Genomic DNA, 15,757 nt, shown 5'->3' on the forward strand with positions numbered 1-15,757 from the left:
GTGCCCCCCAGTTCTGGGATCCTCTGGCATCAAGCTGTTGCTCCCACCTAGTGACTGTCTTCCTGAATAACTGAAGCCTCCTGGCCAAATCTGGGTAGTTTCTAGGGAGCAGAGGCACCAAATTCAGATGCCTCTGCTCCCTAGAAACACAGGCACAACCTAGAAATATCAGATGTCTCAACCGCTAGAAGGCCCCCAAAAACTTCTCTGCTCAGAAACCACAGAATCTACTCATGAACTTTATGTGCAGCCTGCAAAACGGGGAACACAAGCAAATGCAGACGAAGTTTCAACCTTTTTATTCAAAGCAGCTTCTCACAATGTATAAATACTGCATATTAGCACACATGAAAAATACAACTTCTAAGGCACCCAGAAATGTGTTCATACACGTTACAGGACCATTCACAAAGAGAGTGTACAATTTGCTCTAGACAGTCAGGATTTGATAAATCAGAAGATTATTATCCCTCAGTACTGCACCCAGTCTCAGTAAATATTTACAACATGGTGAGAAGGGGTCAGCTGTACCTTCTTTATAATTCTATGAAGTACTCAGACTTACAAATATTCAGAACTAGTTAAAGACTCTCCCATGATAATCTGGCAAAATAAAACAAGTAGCCTAATTTTGCAAAGGTCTCGGTGGATTTTGGTGTATGCTACATCCATGATCAAATCCAAACACTCCTAGGGTGGGCTGGATAAGTTTTTGGTAGCCTGCTTCATTATCGGAAGTTTGGTAATAAGCCTTACCAATAGAATACCACTTCTTCAGCATCAATCATTTCTCAACTGGTCAATGGATCAATGATTCCATCATGAATGAGAATGGAGAGAGAACTGAAGACAATTCTTCTCACACCTAACAGGAATTAGAATGGGTCAATGAAGAACAAAAGGAGGCAGACATTTGGAAAGTGCAGGATCCTACTGTTCAGTATAGACATGTCTGAAAAATTCTTACCCTGGAGGTTCATATTCAGATGGAGGAGTCTACACTGGCCAGATAACCTGGAGGAGTACCAGGCCTCCACTTTTATGATATGGATACAGGCTTGGGACTACACAGTAGAAACACCAACCTGAGATAGTGAGCTTCAATTAGAAACTCATCTTTCAGAGCCTTTTCAATATGACAACGAATCCCTCTGTATGGCCAGCCAGGGGGAGCATGAGGTTGGTGGAAGTCAGCAGTTTCTCTGCACCATCAAGCATGCACATATCTGTCTAGATGTGCCCACAATCTATGAAACTCAGGCTTTGTTAGAATAATGGAATTCTTTGGTTCTCGGTTTTATGAAAGGCAATATTGTCACAATCCTGTCAACATCGACACTGGCAAATGACTTCAAGCTGGGACTAATGGCACAGGGACAAATTAAATACTAGATGGGAAACTCTACACCCTCCAAACTTCCAAGAGTCAGCTTCAAGAGCTCCAGCATCAGGCTAGATATAAGAGCTCCAGCATCAGGCTAGAAATAAGAGCTCCAGCATCAGGCTAGATGTTGGATCAATGATATAAGGTTAAGCCATAAAAACACCAGAGGTGAAGTTGAAAACTAGATATGGGTTTTTCTGACTGCCACACACACTGCAAAAATTTAAAGCAAATCTCCATCTTAATGGCTGATAAGTTGACTTTATAAATACATACCAGAGATGAACCAAATAACTTGATTTTAGCCATATGATAGCCCTGGACTACTTTATGTGGACAACCAAAAGGAATAATAATTTCTTTTTAAGTCTAAATTCTAGTTGGTTTTATTAAACCCCAAAAACAGTGGATACACTGTCAAGGAGCTCCATGATTTATGTTCTAGAAAAACAGTCCTGGATAGACATATTCAGCTGATATGTTATGTTCTACATTTAGTTTGCCTTTGTCCTGCTAAACTCCAGTTTAGTATGGCTTGATACACATAGTTCATTGATAAGACACTGAGGACACATGGGAATGCTGATTGTGTAACTAAAATTGACTTCAGATTGTCTACACAGTAAGACTCATAGGTAAACTTTGTTAACATCTCTCAGGGAGTGCTGACCTTACCCAGAATGGACGTTTCCAAGTCATCGACAAGGAATCTGGGGCCAACTGCCAGGGTCAGGAGCAGGAAATGCCATTTGTTCAGAACAAATGATGGACCAGCAGCCTTCCCTATGACCGTGTCTAAACCATGTTTACAGTATGAAGGTGTCTCTGGAAAACCTATCCTTGGTCTATTCTTATGGCCAAAGACAATCACCAAGGTGTCTATCTGGTCCCTGCCGCCATCAACTCAATCAAACTCTTCGGATTAGCCATGAATTACAGACTGCATTCAGTCCATCAGCATGGCTTACGTTGCATGGAGGAAACAACCCGTATTACCCTTTTTAAATTTTTTTGCAACAAGCTTAAGGCTCTGTTCACAAACTCCATCAACTGCCACACAGTGAGAATTTACGGGGAGATCTTAAACTACTTATGTAGTTGCAAAGTTGAAAAATTTACTGATCCTAATGGTAAGGCTTATTCACAAATTCAATACATTTTGAAATTATACTTCAAACGCAATTACTTCGAAAAAAGATTAACCTGCTCTCCAACAATATAAGAGCATTATATTCTAATGAAAAAATTGGCACCAAACCAGTATGCTATTTTTCAAAAGAACAAGTGATATTAATGAAAAATATTGCCTAAAACGCATATCCTAACTTATCACAGAAATATAAAAGTTTATATTTTGAAAATATATACTGTATTAAAGTCTGTAAGCATTTCAACCAAAATTTGCAGAAATAACTAAGCAACACTTATCTACAACAAAAATATACATGCAAGACAACCCCAAATGGTTTCCCTTAAATATCTACAAAGGCAAAGTGTAGATGTTTAAAGATTATACAAAACCATTTACAGAGAATAAAATAAAATACTTAAGAAATCTCATTTAGAGTCTTAAATACTGTGTATATTAGTGAGAGTGTCTAAACTAATATATACAACAGATATAAGTGTCTGAATACAGAAAAACAGAAGATAAGCAATTCTGCATTTTAAATATTCACTTAGGAAGATTTGAAGATGTTTCTATTTGTTTCTCTCTGTTAAAAAATTTCCACAGAAACTAGATTGGAAAATTTAATGGATGTGACTAAATTCCAAATAAAAAAAAAGTTTACAAAATTTTTAAAACCAAAAATTAATGGGAAATGCAATTCAGCATTCAGTGAAGGCTATTTTTAAATGTGGATATTCAGAGATACAGTTGCATTGTTCAAAGTCTACTGTGATTATTATTTTTCCATCCTTGTACTAAACTTCACATGGGAAAAACATTTTCATGCTTCAGAGAGAACATTTCCTAGTTTAATCTATACCAAACAAGAATGATATTTTAAATCAATTCTCTACTACTTTCTCATAGCTATCCAATGTCATTCTTAGTGATTTTGATGGCTGTTACCCAGACATTATTTCTATGCCGGAAGGGGCACATTAAGTACATCAGCATTAGGCTGTGTCTTCCAAATGGTGGTGAGAAGGTATGACCACCCTAACAAAAGTTCTGCACAAAGTCTTCTTGGAACAGGGTTGTTAACTCAGATGGTCCCATAAGATGCTGAGAGTGAGCCATCACCGGGGTTGGGGCAGAGAGGGAAGGAGAGTTCCACTGCATGGCTAACAGGATGGGAGGGAGTGGATTGCTAGAAAGGTCCCTGACTAAAGAGGTGTCCTCAATTGCCCACCCACAGCTATTCTTTCAAACCCAAAGGTAATTGCAGGACGGGGCTGCCAAAATGAGCCGCAATTCCTCAAAGACCTGCCCAGGCTCTTGGGAGTGACTTATGGGGGAAGGTACGGGAAAATGGTAGAGAGAGGGGAGAAAGGATCCCATAGACAGAGAGGGGGCCCTGGGGTGGAAGATCAAAAATGAAAGTCTGAGCTCTGTCTCAGGAAAGCTATTAGGATAAACCCTGACACAACCAGAGGTCTGGTATTTTCCATCCCAAATCTATTTGCTGTAAGTTACCTGGAATTCGCCTACACATGATCAAAACAACTACCCAGAAAGTGAAAAATTCAGTCCACCCTGCAGCAAAAAGATTTCACCTGCTTTCACCCAATTGGTGGAACTGACTGTATGGAAACAACCAAAATACAGACTTTCACCACCCCCGTTACACCCAGGACCTGTGACTTAACAGCAAGATTTCCACCTTAGAAATGGTTTCACATTCCTACCTTAATCTTCAGAGATCCTTGAAATGTTTAGAAGTTTGGATTTGATAGTACATCCAAAGCTGAAGCATTTCTAGTTCTTTCAAGCAGGGAATGAAGGTGGACACTGATCTAAAGGAATTTCTAAACATCCCCTTCCATGTCCAAGGAGAATCCTGACCCCACTTCAACCGATGCTGAATATAACTGCGCCCAATCAGAAGTTCAACAGAAAAGAGGGGGCTCTTTCTAATGAAAATTTAGCAGTAGTGAAGACACTGTCTGCCACAATATGTAAGAACCAGGGTCATCTAAGGGTTTTGGAAAGCTCACATTTGCTTTCTCAAAGGAGGAGATAAGATCCAGATAGAGCTGTGACAACAGGCATTTGGGCAAAAGCAGGTGTCTCCCTATAGTAACTCCCTGTAGGACAGGTCCGAAGTCCTTACAGGATCCTACATGGACAAAGGGGAGGGTGCACAGGACTTTAATTCCATCCTCCTCTGGCTGAAGGAGAGGTTTCCCCTCCTTCCTGACCCTCATGAACTCTTAAAGGAGACACGCTTTCCAGGGAGGGAACCAAGGTCATCAGAAGGACCAGCAGTCCAGATTAACTTGAGGGTCACTGCTTAAAGGACCATGTCTCTAGATCTGGTGTAGACTATCAACGTGTTCTTTGAAACTCAAAGCTCAGGGCCACGAATACATTCCACCTGCCCTGCCCAGTGCACCTGATTGCCAGGAAAAGATAAAGGACCACAGAGAGTTAGAGAACTGTCACCAGAACTCTCTCTTCTAAGCCTGCCTCACCTCCATAAGCTGTGCCCACTTCTTGCTGCCTTATTCCACTCTCTTCAAAGAAGGGCCAAGAAAGGCTGGTGCCCAACAGGAAAGGGGAAGAAGGGGAGGGCCAAGGGCCTCCAGGAATACGCAGGGGCTGTGATAGAAACGGAAAAAAATCCCTCCATCCTGAGAATCTGAGAATCTAGCTTTTTCTGGGTGCTTGACCCATGGTTTAAACCTCACGCAGAACACATCCCTTCCATTTGTCTGCTCTCAACTTCAGGTTTTCCTGAACTTTCTCCTCACCACTCAAAACCACAACCCCCAATCCCTCCTTCTCTGTAGTTAATCCAGGGACTTGAATCTGATGGTCTAACACAGCTGCTGGAGTCCCCTTGCAGCCCAGGGGCACAGGGGCAAGGAGATCTCATTCCTGGTCATTGCTCCCTATGTACATAAAAAAACTAGAAAACAGATGAGTCATTTCAGCTTCTGGAGGGAAAAGATTCAGACCTCCAGACAGCTCAGCAGAGTGGGAACTCTTCCCCATCCCCCTGGCCAATACCAGAAATCACTGATCACATGGAAGCAACAGACTGCAGGATCCAAGTTCAGTCATTTGCCCCAAAGAAAGAAGTCTTATTCTAGACAGTATGCTATTCTCAGGTAGGGCCTATCCCCACTCCTGCCCAACATCACGCAATTTGGGACTGGGTCTGTTTCAGGATCATTCAGGCTAAGAGGGCCCTTTAACTCCTTAAAGACAGCAGAGGGAAGAAAAAACTCTCCCAAGATGTCTCCTAAGGACAAACCTAAGGAACTAGTATTCTATTATTACAGCTGAGAACCGTTTTACACAGAGGTGCAGCGCTATTCCTTTTGTCCACAGAAATCCTTCTGTTTTCATCTCTCTAAACTTTATTTCTACATGGTTCATTGCTAGAATGCACCAAACGGCATGAACCTTGTGTGGGATTTGGTCCAGGGTAGTATGAAAATAGTATCTGTGTGAACAACAGACATCACAATATATAAACAAAAATAAATAAATAAAACAAGTCCAAGGAAAGAAAAAACATTTCCCTAGTAGTTTGTTTTTGCAAAACTAGCTTTACATATAATACACATAAATTATCAGAATTTCCACTTACATTGTTTTAAAAATATATATTTAACAAAACATTTCTAAATGTACAATATCTGGGTTTGCAAATCACTCAATTGGGTTTTAAGACCAAGCCCTAATAGTCACACAGATTTGCGTCGGAAAGGAGACTGAGGCCAGGTGTGCACAATCATTTTGCTCATTGGTCTGGAAATTCCCTAAGATTGGTCGTCCTCTGACACCCGATCTAAATACAACCAGAGAGAGCCATGATGGCCAAGTCTCCAAGTCAGAGGCACTGTGTAGACACAGCCTGAGTCAGAAGAATGTGAAAGTGGTCTTCCCCTTCCTGGACCGTCATGGTGCATTTCAGCAAGTGGGGAAAGGACAGCGGTGCTTGGCGGAGCCCTGGGAAGATACAGCCTTGGACAGCTCTCTGGCCAGGAAGGGCAGGGAGGTGGGGGAGGCCAAGTATGCTGCGTTTTCCATCCATTACACAAAATCAAACCAAGGAGGAGCAACCAAAGGACACGAGGAAATGGACACAACCCTACGTATAAAGAGACACCTTGACAAACTCCTTGGCCGGGGCAGACACTGTGCTCTGGTTTCCGAAACACAGGGCAGAGCTGGAAGTTGGGGGCCCGTGAGCTGGGGCCCCTCAGACTTCATAAATTTTGTCCTGCAGGTAGCTGAAAAGGGAGTCAAGGCCTTTGGAGGAGCTCCAGAGCTGCTTGAGCATGAGGCATTCCTTCTCGTTCACGTCTTCCAGCACTGATTTCAGGAAGCTCCGCACGAGGCATTTGGACTCCTCTAACACCTAGAGGGAAATAGACAGGCCTGATTAGCCGGGCACCAGGGACTCTGCTCCAGAACTAGGTACCTGGCCCATGGGGCACTGGCCAACCTCCCATACTCACAGCCAGAGAAGGCTGCCTCCTCCAGCCTGGGCCTTCCCAGTCCCATGTTTCCAGCACGGCCATGAATGGATCCCAGATGTGTCAAGACGTGAACACTGTGAGGCCCTGGGATGGCTCAGTGGGGCCCATGTCACCCCAGACCACTAGAGGCTTGCCTGTTGCCCAATGGTGATACAAACACAGAGTCCTTTTCTATAGGTGTCATGAAAAAGTGTGGGAGACACTGTTTTAACCTCCCGTGATTCATTTTCATGATCTGTTGGCAATAACTCAAGGATCACTGAGAACACAGAATAAGACGATGAAATGAACGAATGGTTGTCACATACAACTCACCCTGAGAGCAATGCCCCGTGTTCAGGCTACAATGTTAGTAATCATGGTAGTAACAACTAATAACACTCAAGGCTATCACCTTCATAATCATTATAGTAAAGAGTAAAAATCATAGGAATGAATAACAATCATCACAGCCATAGTAATAATTGTAGTAATGAGTAATAATGATCATAGTAATCATGGTTATAAATGTAGTAGCTGCTGTCCACAGCTATGATAAATGATCATAAATGATCTATGATTATTCATTACTAAAGTATTACGTATATACACATATTATGTATTATATACATTATATATACGTATAAACACATATGTATATAGGTAAACACATGTATATATGTATATACACTATAATATATACATATTATATTATGTATATGTATAATATATAATTATGTATATGTATTATATATAATATATACATATTATGTAAATATAGTATTAATCCCACAGTGTTACTATGATGATTACTACCATCATCATAGTAATGAGCAATAATCATAGTAATAATAGTCACAACAAAGAGCAATAATCATAGTAACAATAGCAATAATAATCACAGCAATGAGCAATAATCATAGTAACAATAGTAATAATCATAGTAACAGTAATCATATTAATGAACAATAATCATAGTAATAGTCTTAGTAATGAGCAATAATCACAGTAACAATAGTAATAATCATAGTAGTGAGTAAAAATTCATAACAGTAATAGTAATACTAATAATAGTAATGAGTAATGATTGTAGTAATATTTGTAATAACTATAATAATGCCACTATGATCACCATTATCCAACAGGATCTAAGAGAAATACTTTTCCTGAATTCTTTCATTTACTTCTCATGATAACCCTGCAAGTAAGTAGTCTTTTGATCCCCATGTTACAGATGCAGAACCCAAAGCTCCATGATGTAAAGTGGCCCAGGGCTGCCTGACCACTCATGGGTAGAGGGAGCAGGAAAACCTGGTCTGGCTGATTCCAACAGCCACGCTGCTGCTGCCGCCCTCTGGCAGACGTTACAGCCAGAAGTGAGGCCTTCGTGCATTCTTCGCTGGCCTCCACCAGCCTCTCCTGAAATGCCCTCAAACAGAAAGAAGCAAGATGGCAGCTCCCTGGCTCCAGCAGACTGGGAGGGGCTGCACCCTCACTCCCCTGCCTGGGCTAGAGGCTGCAGGTGGTGGGATGAGCTGCCAGACCCAGCTGGCTCTTTCCCCCTGGAATGGCCTCGAAGAGCACCGTCTCCCAGAGGCCATGGGCCTTACTCTGCTGGAGTAGTTCCTTTCTTGGGAAACCCCCCCAGCATTCCTGAATTCACAGCTTTTGGCAGCAGAGACCTCCTTGCAGTATTCCTTGTCCTAAGAGCCTGTACCCTCAGGTGTCCTTCAACACTTGGTTTCACCTGAGCCTCTCTTCCCTGCCACAGAACAGGCCAACCCCCTCCATGCAGCTTGCAGGCCAGTCTCCCACCCTCCTTTTCAGTCACATGTTTCCTAGCATCCCCGTGCCACCTGACTGCACACTGCTGCCTACACTCCCTGTGGATTTCCTGTCTTGAGTGCCCTCACTCTTGCCACTTCCTCTGCTTAGAATTTCTACCTGTCTCTCCATGAAGCTAACCCCAGGGTGATCAACCACCCCTGTTTGCCCACAACTAAGGGGCATATGGTTTGCCTGTGTCCCAACCCAAATCTCATCTTGAATTGTAGCTCCCATAGTTCCCACATGTTGTGGGAGGGACCCTGTGGGAGATAATTCAATGACGGGGGCAGTTTCCCCCACACTGTTCTCCTGGTAGTGAAGAAGTCTCAAGAGATCTGATGATTTTATAAGGGGTTTCCCCTTTCACTTGGTTGTCACTTCTGTCTTGTCTGCCGCCATGTAAGACATGCCTTTGGCCTTCCGCCATGATTGTGAGGCCTCCCCAGCCACATGGAACAGTGAATCTATTCAACCTCCTTTTCTTTATAAATTACCCAGTCTCGGGTATGTCTTTATCAGCAGCGTGAGAACAATAGGGTTTCCTGGGATGCAGGATTTTCAGTCCTCACACCAGGAGAGTCCCAGACAAGGTGGGGCAAATTGGTGACCCTAGTCATTAGTAAGATTAAAAGAGAATCCACGTGAAGAGATCAGAAATGCTCGTGGCCCGCGTGAGTGTTGACTAACAACCTGGAGACCGCCACCCCCCACCGTCACCCTCACCCCGCGAGCACTGTCTGTTCAGCTTGCAGGGGGCAAGACTTAAACACAGTAGGTGCCAACAGTCAGGGATGAGGCCCAGCAGGAGAAAGACTTAAACACAGTAGGTGCCAACAGTCAGGGATGAGAAGCATGACAGCCGGGTGTGAACACAGGCACAGGGAGACAAGGAAGGGAGGGGCAAGGGTCTGGCCCCAAAAATGCACGCAGCAGCTCCCTGTTTCTCAAGCACAGAGCGAGTCCTAGAGCCTCAATCTCCCAAAATGCCTCTCTCAGCTCTGGAACCAGCCCTGGGGCCGCAGGAGTGGCCTTGTCTCCACCTTCCCACAGGATATTCCCCTGCCGCGCTCTGAGTGACTGTTATGAGATAAAATCAACACTTAATTAAAAACCACTGCCTCTGCAGAGGTGTTATTTGTTTATGTATTTTTCAGTGCATCTTCAAACAGTGACATTTAAATGTGACGAGCAGTCGGTGGAGAAAACAAATGAAATAGAGGCATGGTGTGTACAGCTTTCTCTAGTCATCTTCCGGATGGGTTCAATACTTTTTATCCTTATTGGCCGCTGCTTCTCGTTTCTTTGAAAGCTATAGATGTTTTGCGTTTTTGTGGTGTTTAGGACTTTCTTTGAAAGCAGTGACGCTACCCTAGAGTATCCATCTCTCCTGTGAGGTTTCTCTGCCTGGAGATGATGGACAATTTGTAATAATGCTGACTGTCTCCCTCTGATTGAAGCTGTCAATACTGAGAAAAGGCATTTGTTAAATTGCAAAGGGTCTTTTGCTTATTCCCTGTGCGACCTCTAGCAAGTCAGTGAAGCCCTCTGAGCCTTGCTGTCTTCATGTGTAAAATGGGTCTATCAAAAGGACAAGCACGCAGGAGGCGCAGGAACTCACCACGGCACTGCAGGATGCCATCTCCTTGACCCGCAGCATGACCTCCTGGCTGAACGTGGTGGGCCAGAAGACCTGCGACACCAGCCCCCTGCTGCAGGCCTCCTGGGCGGTGAGCTTCCGCCCACAGAACAGCATCTCATTGGCCTGAAAAAGCAAAAGCAGGCAAAGACTGAGGGCCTGGAGGTCCACCCATGTCCCTCAGCTGGTCCAGGGCTTGCCACCTGCAACCATCCCAGTTCTGGAAGGCATCTTGCCTTCCAGATCCTTATCTTATTTTGGGGTCAGATAAGCTTTGGGAATTGTATGGAAATGTTCGTGTGCATGAGCAGAAGGTCCACAGCTTTCATTAAATTCCCCAAAGGAGCTGTGTATTTACTGTGACTCTGTATGCCCCACACCCCTCCCCATTTCTGGTGGCAGACCCATGGGCATGGGTTGTGGGTTGGGAAGATTTCAGAGCCGATGACCCAGCCGTGATGACATCATTGGCACTGAAATGCACACAGCCCACAACAGCCCAGGGAGAAAGAGATGCTCCCTTCTAGATAATAAAGCTCAAGTGGGGTTTCCAGCTGCAGGTGTGGTGGAAAAGTCTTTCTTCCTCTGTGACTGCAGGCTAACATCAGTGAGCCCAAGGACCATCCATGGCTGTGTCCCGGCCTGTGGAGAGGTGGGGCTACAAGGAAAGGAGAAATAGGGGAAGAGAGAGAGAGAGAGAAAGATTAAGAGAAAGAGAGAGAGACCTGATGGTACTTGAATTCCCCAGCCCTGTCTCCCCAAGGGAACTGCCACTTCTGCTTTCCAGCTGGGAGAACCATTAAGCTCCTTTTTTAAAAATTAAACTGGTTAAAGCACTTCCATCACTGGCAGCCAAAAAGGTCGTGAATAACACCACAATACCAAGGCAGAGACGTGCATCTCTCCAAGCAGCTCAGGGCTGGGCAAGGGCACTGCCCAGTCTTGAAGGGCAGAGAGCAATCTTCCCTGGGGTCTGGTGACCTGGGATATCTCTGTACCACACTCCCCAGAGAATTTCCTTTTGCTTTGAAATTTTCAGCTGTCATACAAGGTCTGGGAGGAGCTATATAGATAAAGTCCTGCACAGACAGAGAACATGATAGTAATGAGCTGCAACTGACAGACAGTGACTGATAATTAGGGCATAATGGTCAAATCCATGTGATAGGGTCCGCACGGCCGGCAACGCCTTCCCCACCTGCTCTTCTCTCCTGCCTCTACATGCTAGCTCCTCTCGGGTTGACGCTGAAATGCCAGGCACTCTCAGGCCTCCAGAGCTATGCGTAAGTTCCCCCACTGAGTTCTGGTTGTGTCACTGATGGTTCGTGATGACCCAGAGGACAATCTTTCACGCCAGAGTAGAGGGCAATCTTTTATGTCGATAATAAGTCTTAGCATATGCTTGCTTGGTTCAAGATTTGAACACAAATGGAGGACTTGATACTTTCTGAAGAACACCTCAGTCAAATGAACTCAGCAGAAGTTCGCTGGGAGAAGGGGCAAATGGCCATATCTGCTCCAATGAACCTGGATTCAGATCCACTGGAAGCTACTCCCTGGCAGGTGTGAGTTACAAGGCGAGGCCCCCATTCATACGGAAAGGCTCCTGGCCACCCCTCAGACACCATACCCTGCAGTGCCCTCTTTGAAGAGAGAACTTAGGGGTATTATCCAGAAGCCTAAGGATTCAGAGAGAAAGGGGGATTCTTGGGTGGAGGTAGGGTGTCCCTGGTAAAGACCCATAAAATTAACAAACAACCCACTCTAGAGCTAAGAAAACGAACATAAACATAGTTTAGTCACTGACGTGTGACTCTGGGCAAGTCACTTAACGTCACAAAGCCTCAATCTTCTCTGCTGTCCAGGAGGCATCATGACAGCACCAAGCTCCCAGCACAGAGGCAAGGTTAACTGAGAGGTGCTTAGAACAGGGCCTGGTAGTGCAGAAGGGGTAGCAAAAATTTGCTATTTTTGTATGGTTGGTGATGTTATTTTCAAAACAGAACAAGGGGGAATATCAAGGAAGGAAAAGGGACAATGCTTATCAGCCTCACTATTGCAACAAAAGCAGGACTTGAGAGATGAGAAGAATGGGCTTGCAGGCCCTCAGATGGAAACAATGGGGGATGGAACTGCAAAGGAAGACGAGGAAGAAATCCAGTGTAAAAGCACCTGCCCTTCCACAGGTGCTTGCCTAGGTGCAACAGCCACAGTCCTGAGAATGTGCGGAGCTGCCTCAAGAGCATGAGAGTAATGTCAAAGGTGGGTGTTGACCTTCCGATAAAATCAAGACATCAAAAGAAACATCCTGGAGTCTGTTCCTAAAAAGGAACAATTCACAATAGCCGTGGGGCCACAATGGACTGCTCTCTTTTGAAGAGGGAACTTAAGGGTATTATCCAGAAGCCTAAGGACTCAGAGAGAAAGGAGATTCTTGGGCAGAGGTAGGGTGTCCCTGGTGAAGACCCATAAAATTAACAAAAAACCCATGCTAGAGCTAAGAAAACAAGAACATAAACAGAGTTTAGTCACTGGCATGTGACTCTGGGCAAGTCACTTAACGTCACAAAGCCACAATCTTCTCTGCTGTCCAAGAGGCATGATGACAGCACCAAGCTCCCAGCACACTTTGCAGGGCCGGGAGCCAGCACTCGGCTTTTTCTCTGGGGTTGTAGAGTTTGGCCCTGTCACCTAAGGGGTGCTTCTCTGGCACTTTTGTGGGTCTCCTATGACCTATGACATCTGCTGGCAGATGCCCCCAGTGGACCCCGGGCAGACCTTGCTGAGGCAGGCACAACACAGAAGGCCCAGCACCCTCCCCGGCATGCCAGGCTCGCAGGGGCCACTCCACGCCACTGCCATGGCCTCATCCCTCGCCCTCTCCCCACCATCCTCACCAGGCCCCAGCCACACTGACCTGACCACTCTCAACCCAGGGCCTGCCAGGCCCACTCCCTACCCTGTTCTTCCCTTCATGCATCCTCTGCCTGGAATTCTTGCGTCTGTTCAAATGTCACCTGCTCAAAGGGGTCCTCTCTGAACAAGGTGGGACCTCCTTCCAAGACAGAGAGCTGGGGAATAGAAGGTCTGAAGAGCAGGGTTTTTGTTCACCCCTGCACTCCTGGTGGGTGTGGCGAGCCGGGCACTTAGTGGATTTGCAGTATTTGAAGAAAGGGAGAGGAAAAAGGGAGCTGACTGGCTAGAGGGGGCTGGAAGGAGGGGACTCCCTGAGAACCTTCTGAGATCCAGATGGGACCCGTGCTTATGAAATAAGGATTAGCCCATCAGAGCTGAATTCAGAGTTTGTGGCTGCTCTGAACAGCAGAGGCTGCCTGAGAGTCCACAGGGGAGGAGCCGTCAAAGGAAGCCCAGACCCAGCAGCGTGGTGCCTCCAACGCCTACTCGGACCAGCTACATGTTCTGAACCCCTCCCTGGTCCTGACAGCTAATCTCAGATTAACCCCTCAGATGTGGGACCTATTTAATAACAGGCTGGGTTCGGAGCACAGACAGTGGAACCAGCCAGTTCGTGCTCAAATCCCACAACTGGCACTACCACTGCATGCCTTTAGACAACTCACTAAACCTCTCTAGCCTCAGTCTCCACATCCGCAAAATGGGGATCACAGCTGTCCTGCCTCACAGGGGCGTGGACGGCGTTGACAGCCCAGCCCAGCACACAGCAAGTGCTTCCTACGTGCCAGCTGTCATCAGTGCTCTCCCCTGTCCAGACTTGCTTCTGGATGTTGGTGCAGAATCTGACCACAGCTTACAGTGGACTCCGCCGCCTCTGTTGGACAGTGGCTCTGTCTGCCCCACCTGGTGACACGACTTCTCTGAGCTTAACGTTCCATCTGTAAGATGGAAATCGCAATCGTTTCCACATGGGGTGGAGACTGCTTTGTGTCCACTGAATCCTTTCCCTCTTCTTGCTGGACATGCGCTGGGCTGCGTCTCCCGGCCTCCCTTGCAGGCGCATGTGACCAGAAGCTGAGTCATGGCCAATACCACATGAGTGGAGGGGAAGACGCCCCTGCCGGCCTGGCCCATGAAGCCCTCCAGGGTGATGCTTCTGGCTCTCTCTTCTCTCCCATTGGCTGGAAGTGAGGGCACATTTACTGGACGGGAGACACCTGGGTCCCCAGAGAGTGTGGGTGGCCCCTACACCTATGCTGGACCACTCAAGAGGATGAAGGCAAGTTTTGTTGTTAAAGCCACTGAGACCGTGGGCTGCTTGTCACAGCACCCAGCCAATCCTAAGACACGCCTTCAGGGGGTTGGAGTGAGGAATAATTGAGACGCCATGCAGAGTGCATGGTCCATACACTGACATCATCGCCATCTTCTCAGGCCGGGCTACTCCATCTGGCACTGAAGGTGTGAAGGACATGAGGCAGCCAAGCCAATCTGCAGGCTGACAACACCCTCAGGTTTCTAGCCCCATGAAGAGCCCCTAAACCCAAGGCAGAGGAAGGATCCTGCTGGGACCCGAATCCAGGTATCACAGGAGGCTTACCAGCGCGACGCCCAGGATCTGGGGGAAGGTGTAGGAGGAGCAGCCAGCAGGCGTGAGGCGGATGGTGGCGTAGGGCGTCTGGAACCAGGCCTTCTCACTGGCCCACACGATGTCACAGAGGGGCAGGATGGAGGCACCCAGGCCCAGGGCCGGCCCATTGATGGCCACCACGATAGGCTTCTTAAACTGGATAAAGGCCTTCACAAAGTCCCTGGGAGAGAAAGAAGATCCTCTTGAACAGGTGACTATAGCATGCTAAGCCCCACTGGAACCCTTGACTCTCCCAGGTGCTGTGAGGAGCACCCTCAGGTCGTCAGAGGTTAGAGGTGCCAGGCAAGGGCCTCATTGCCTGGACATGGAACCACCAGCTGTCAGATTTTCTGAGGTATACTGATGGGGTCACTGCATGTCCTGGTTTGCTCAGATTGCCCCAGTTCATGCCCCATGTCCTAGCACTGCACCCAGTTACCATCTCCTTCCACTCTCAAAAGCCATAGCTTACACAGTAAGTTATATGGGCACCCTAGATATTGACAGAATTTCTATATATCCTAAGGAAGTCAACCTGAATGTTAAGGTGCAGAAGCAGAACCACAGGGAAGGTGTAACAGGGAGGCATATTTCAACTCAAAGAGAGAAAGAATGTTCTAACATCTCTGGCCAAAGGTGAATGGAGTGGCTTTGTGGGGTATGAATTCCTCATTCCTGGAGGTATTTGCATTTTAGCTCAATGATTATGCTGGGTGATGCTGTA

At 46.2% G+C, this 15,757-nt stretch overlaps 1 protein-coding gene across 4 annotated transcripts in view, besides 2 other annotated features; it reads right to left on the reverse strand.

Moving 5' to 3' along the window:
• Window positions 1-284: 284 nt before the first annotated feature.
• Window positions 285-15,757, reverse strand: part of CDYL2 (chromodomain Y like 2) — a 207,131-nt gene continuing 191,658 nt past the window's right edge. For all 4 annotated transcript variants that reach the window (XM_011522866.2, NM_152342.4, XM_011522867.3 and 1 more), the window contains exons 5-7: window positions 15,004-15,214; window positions 10,470-10,613; window positions 285-6,924 (exon numbers count right to left, since the gene is read on the reverse strand). In XM_011522866.2, the coding sequence (XP_011521168.1) occupies window positions 6,766-6,924; window positions 10,470-10,613; window positions 15,004-15,214 (514 nt within the window). In that variant the 3' untranslated portion in view covers window positions 285-6,765. The remainder of the gene's footprint in view (window positions 6,925-10,469; window positions 10,614-15,003; window positions 15,215-15,757) is intronic.
• Window positions 10,067-10,567: an enhancer, noted in NCBI's record as "H3K4me1 hESC enhancer chr16:80641586-80642086 (GRCh37/hg19 assembly coordinates)". NCBI's record gives its function as "activates a minimal SCP1, AML or CMV promoter by ChIP-STARR-seq in primed H9 embryonic stem cells {active_cell/tissue: H9 hESC(primed)}" and the evidence as "EXISTENCE:reporter gene assay evidence [ECO:0000049][PMID:30033119]".
• Window positions 10,568-11,068: an enhancer, noted in NCBI's record as "H3K4me1 hESC enhancer chr16:80642087-80642587 (GRCh37/hg19 assembly coordinates)". NCBI's record gives its function as "activates a minimal SCP1, AML or CMV promoter by ChIP-STARR-seq in primed H9 embryonic stem cells {active_cell/tissue: H9 hESC(primed)}" and the evidence as "EXISTENCE:reporter gene assay evidence [ECO:0000049][PMID:30033119]".

The sequence above is a fragment of the Homo sapiens genome, chromosome 16 (assembly GCF_000001405.40).
Source record: "Homo sapiens chromosome 16, GRCh38.p14 Primary Assembly".
NCBI classification, from domain to species: Eukaryota; Metazoa; Chordata; class Mammalia; order Primates; family Hominidae; genus Homo; species Homo sapiens.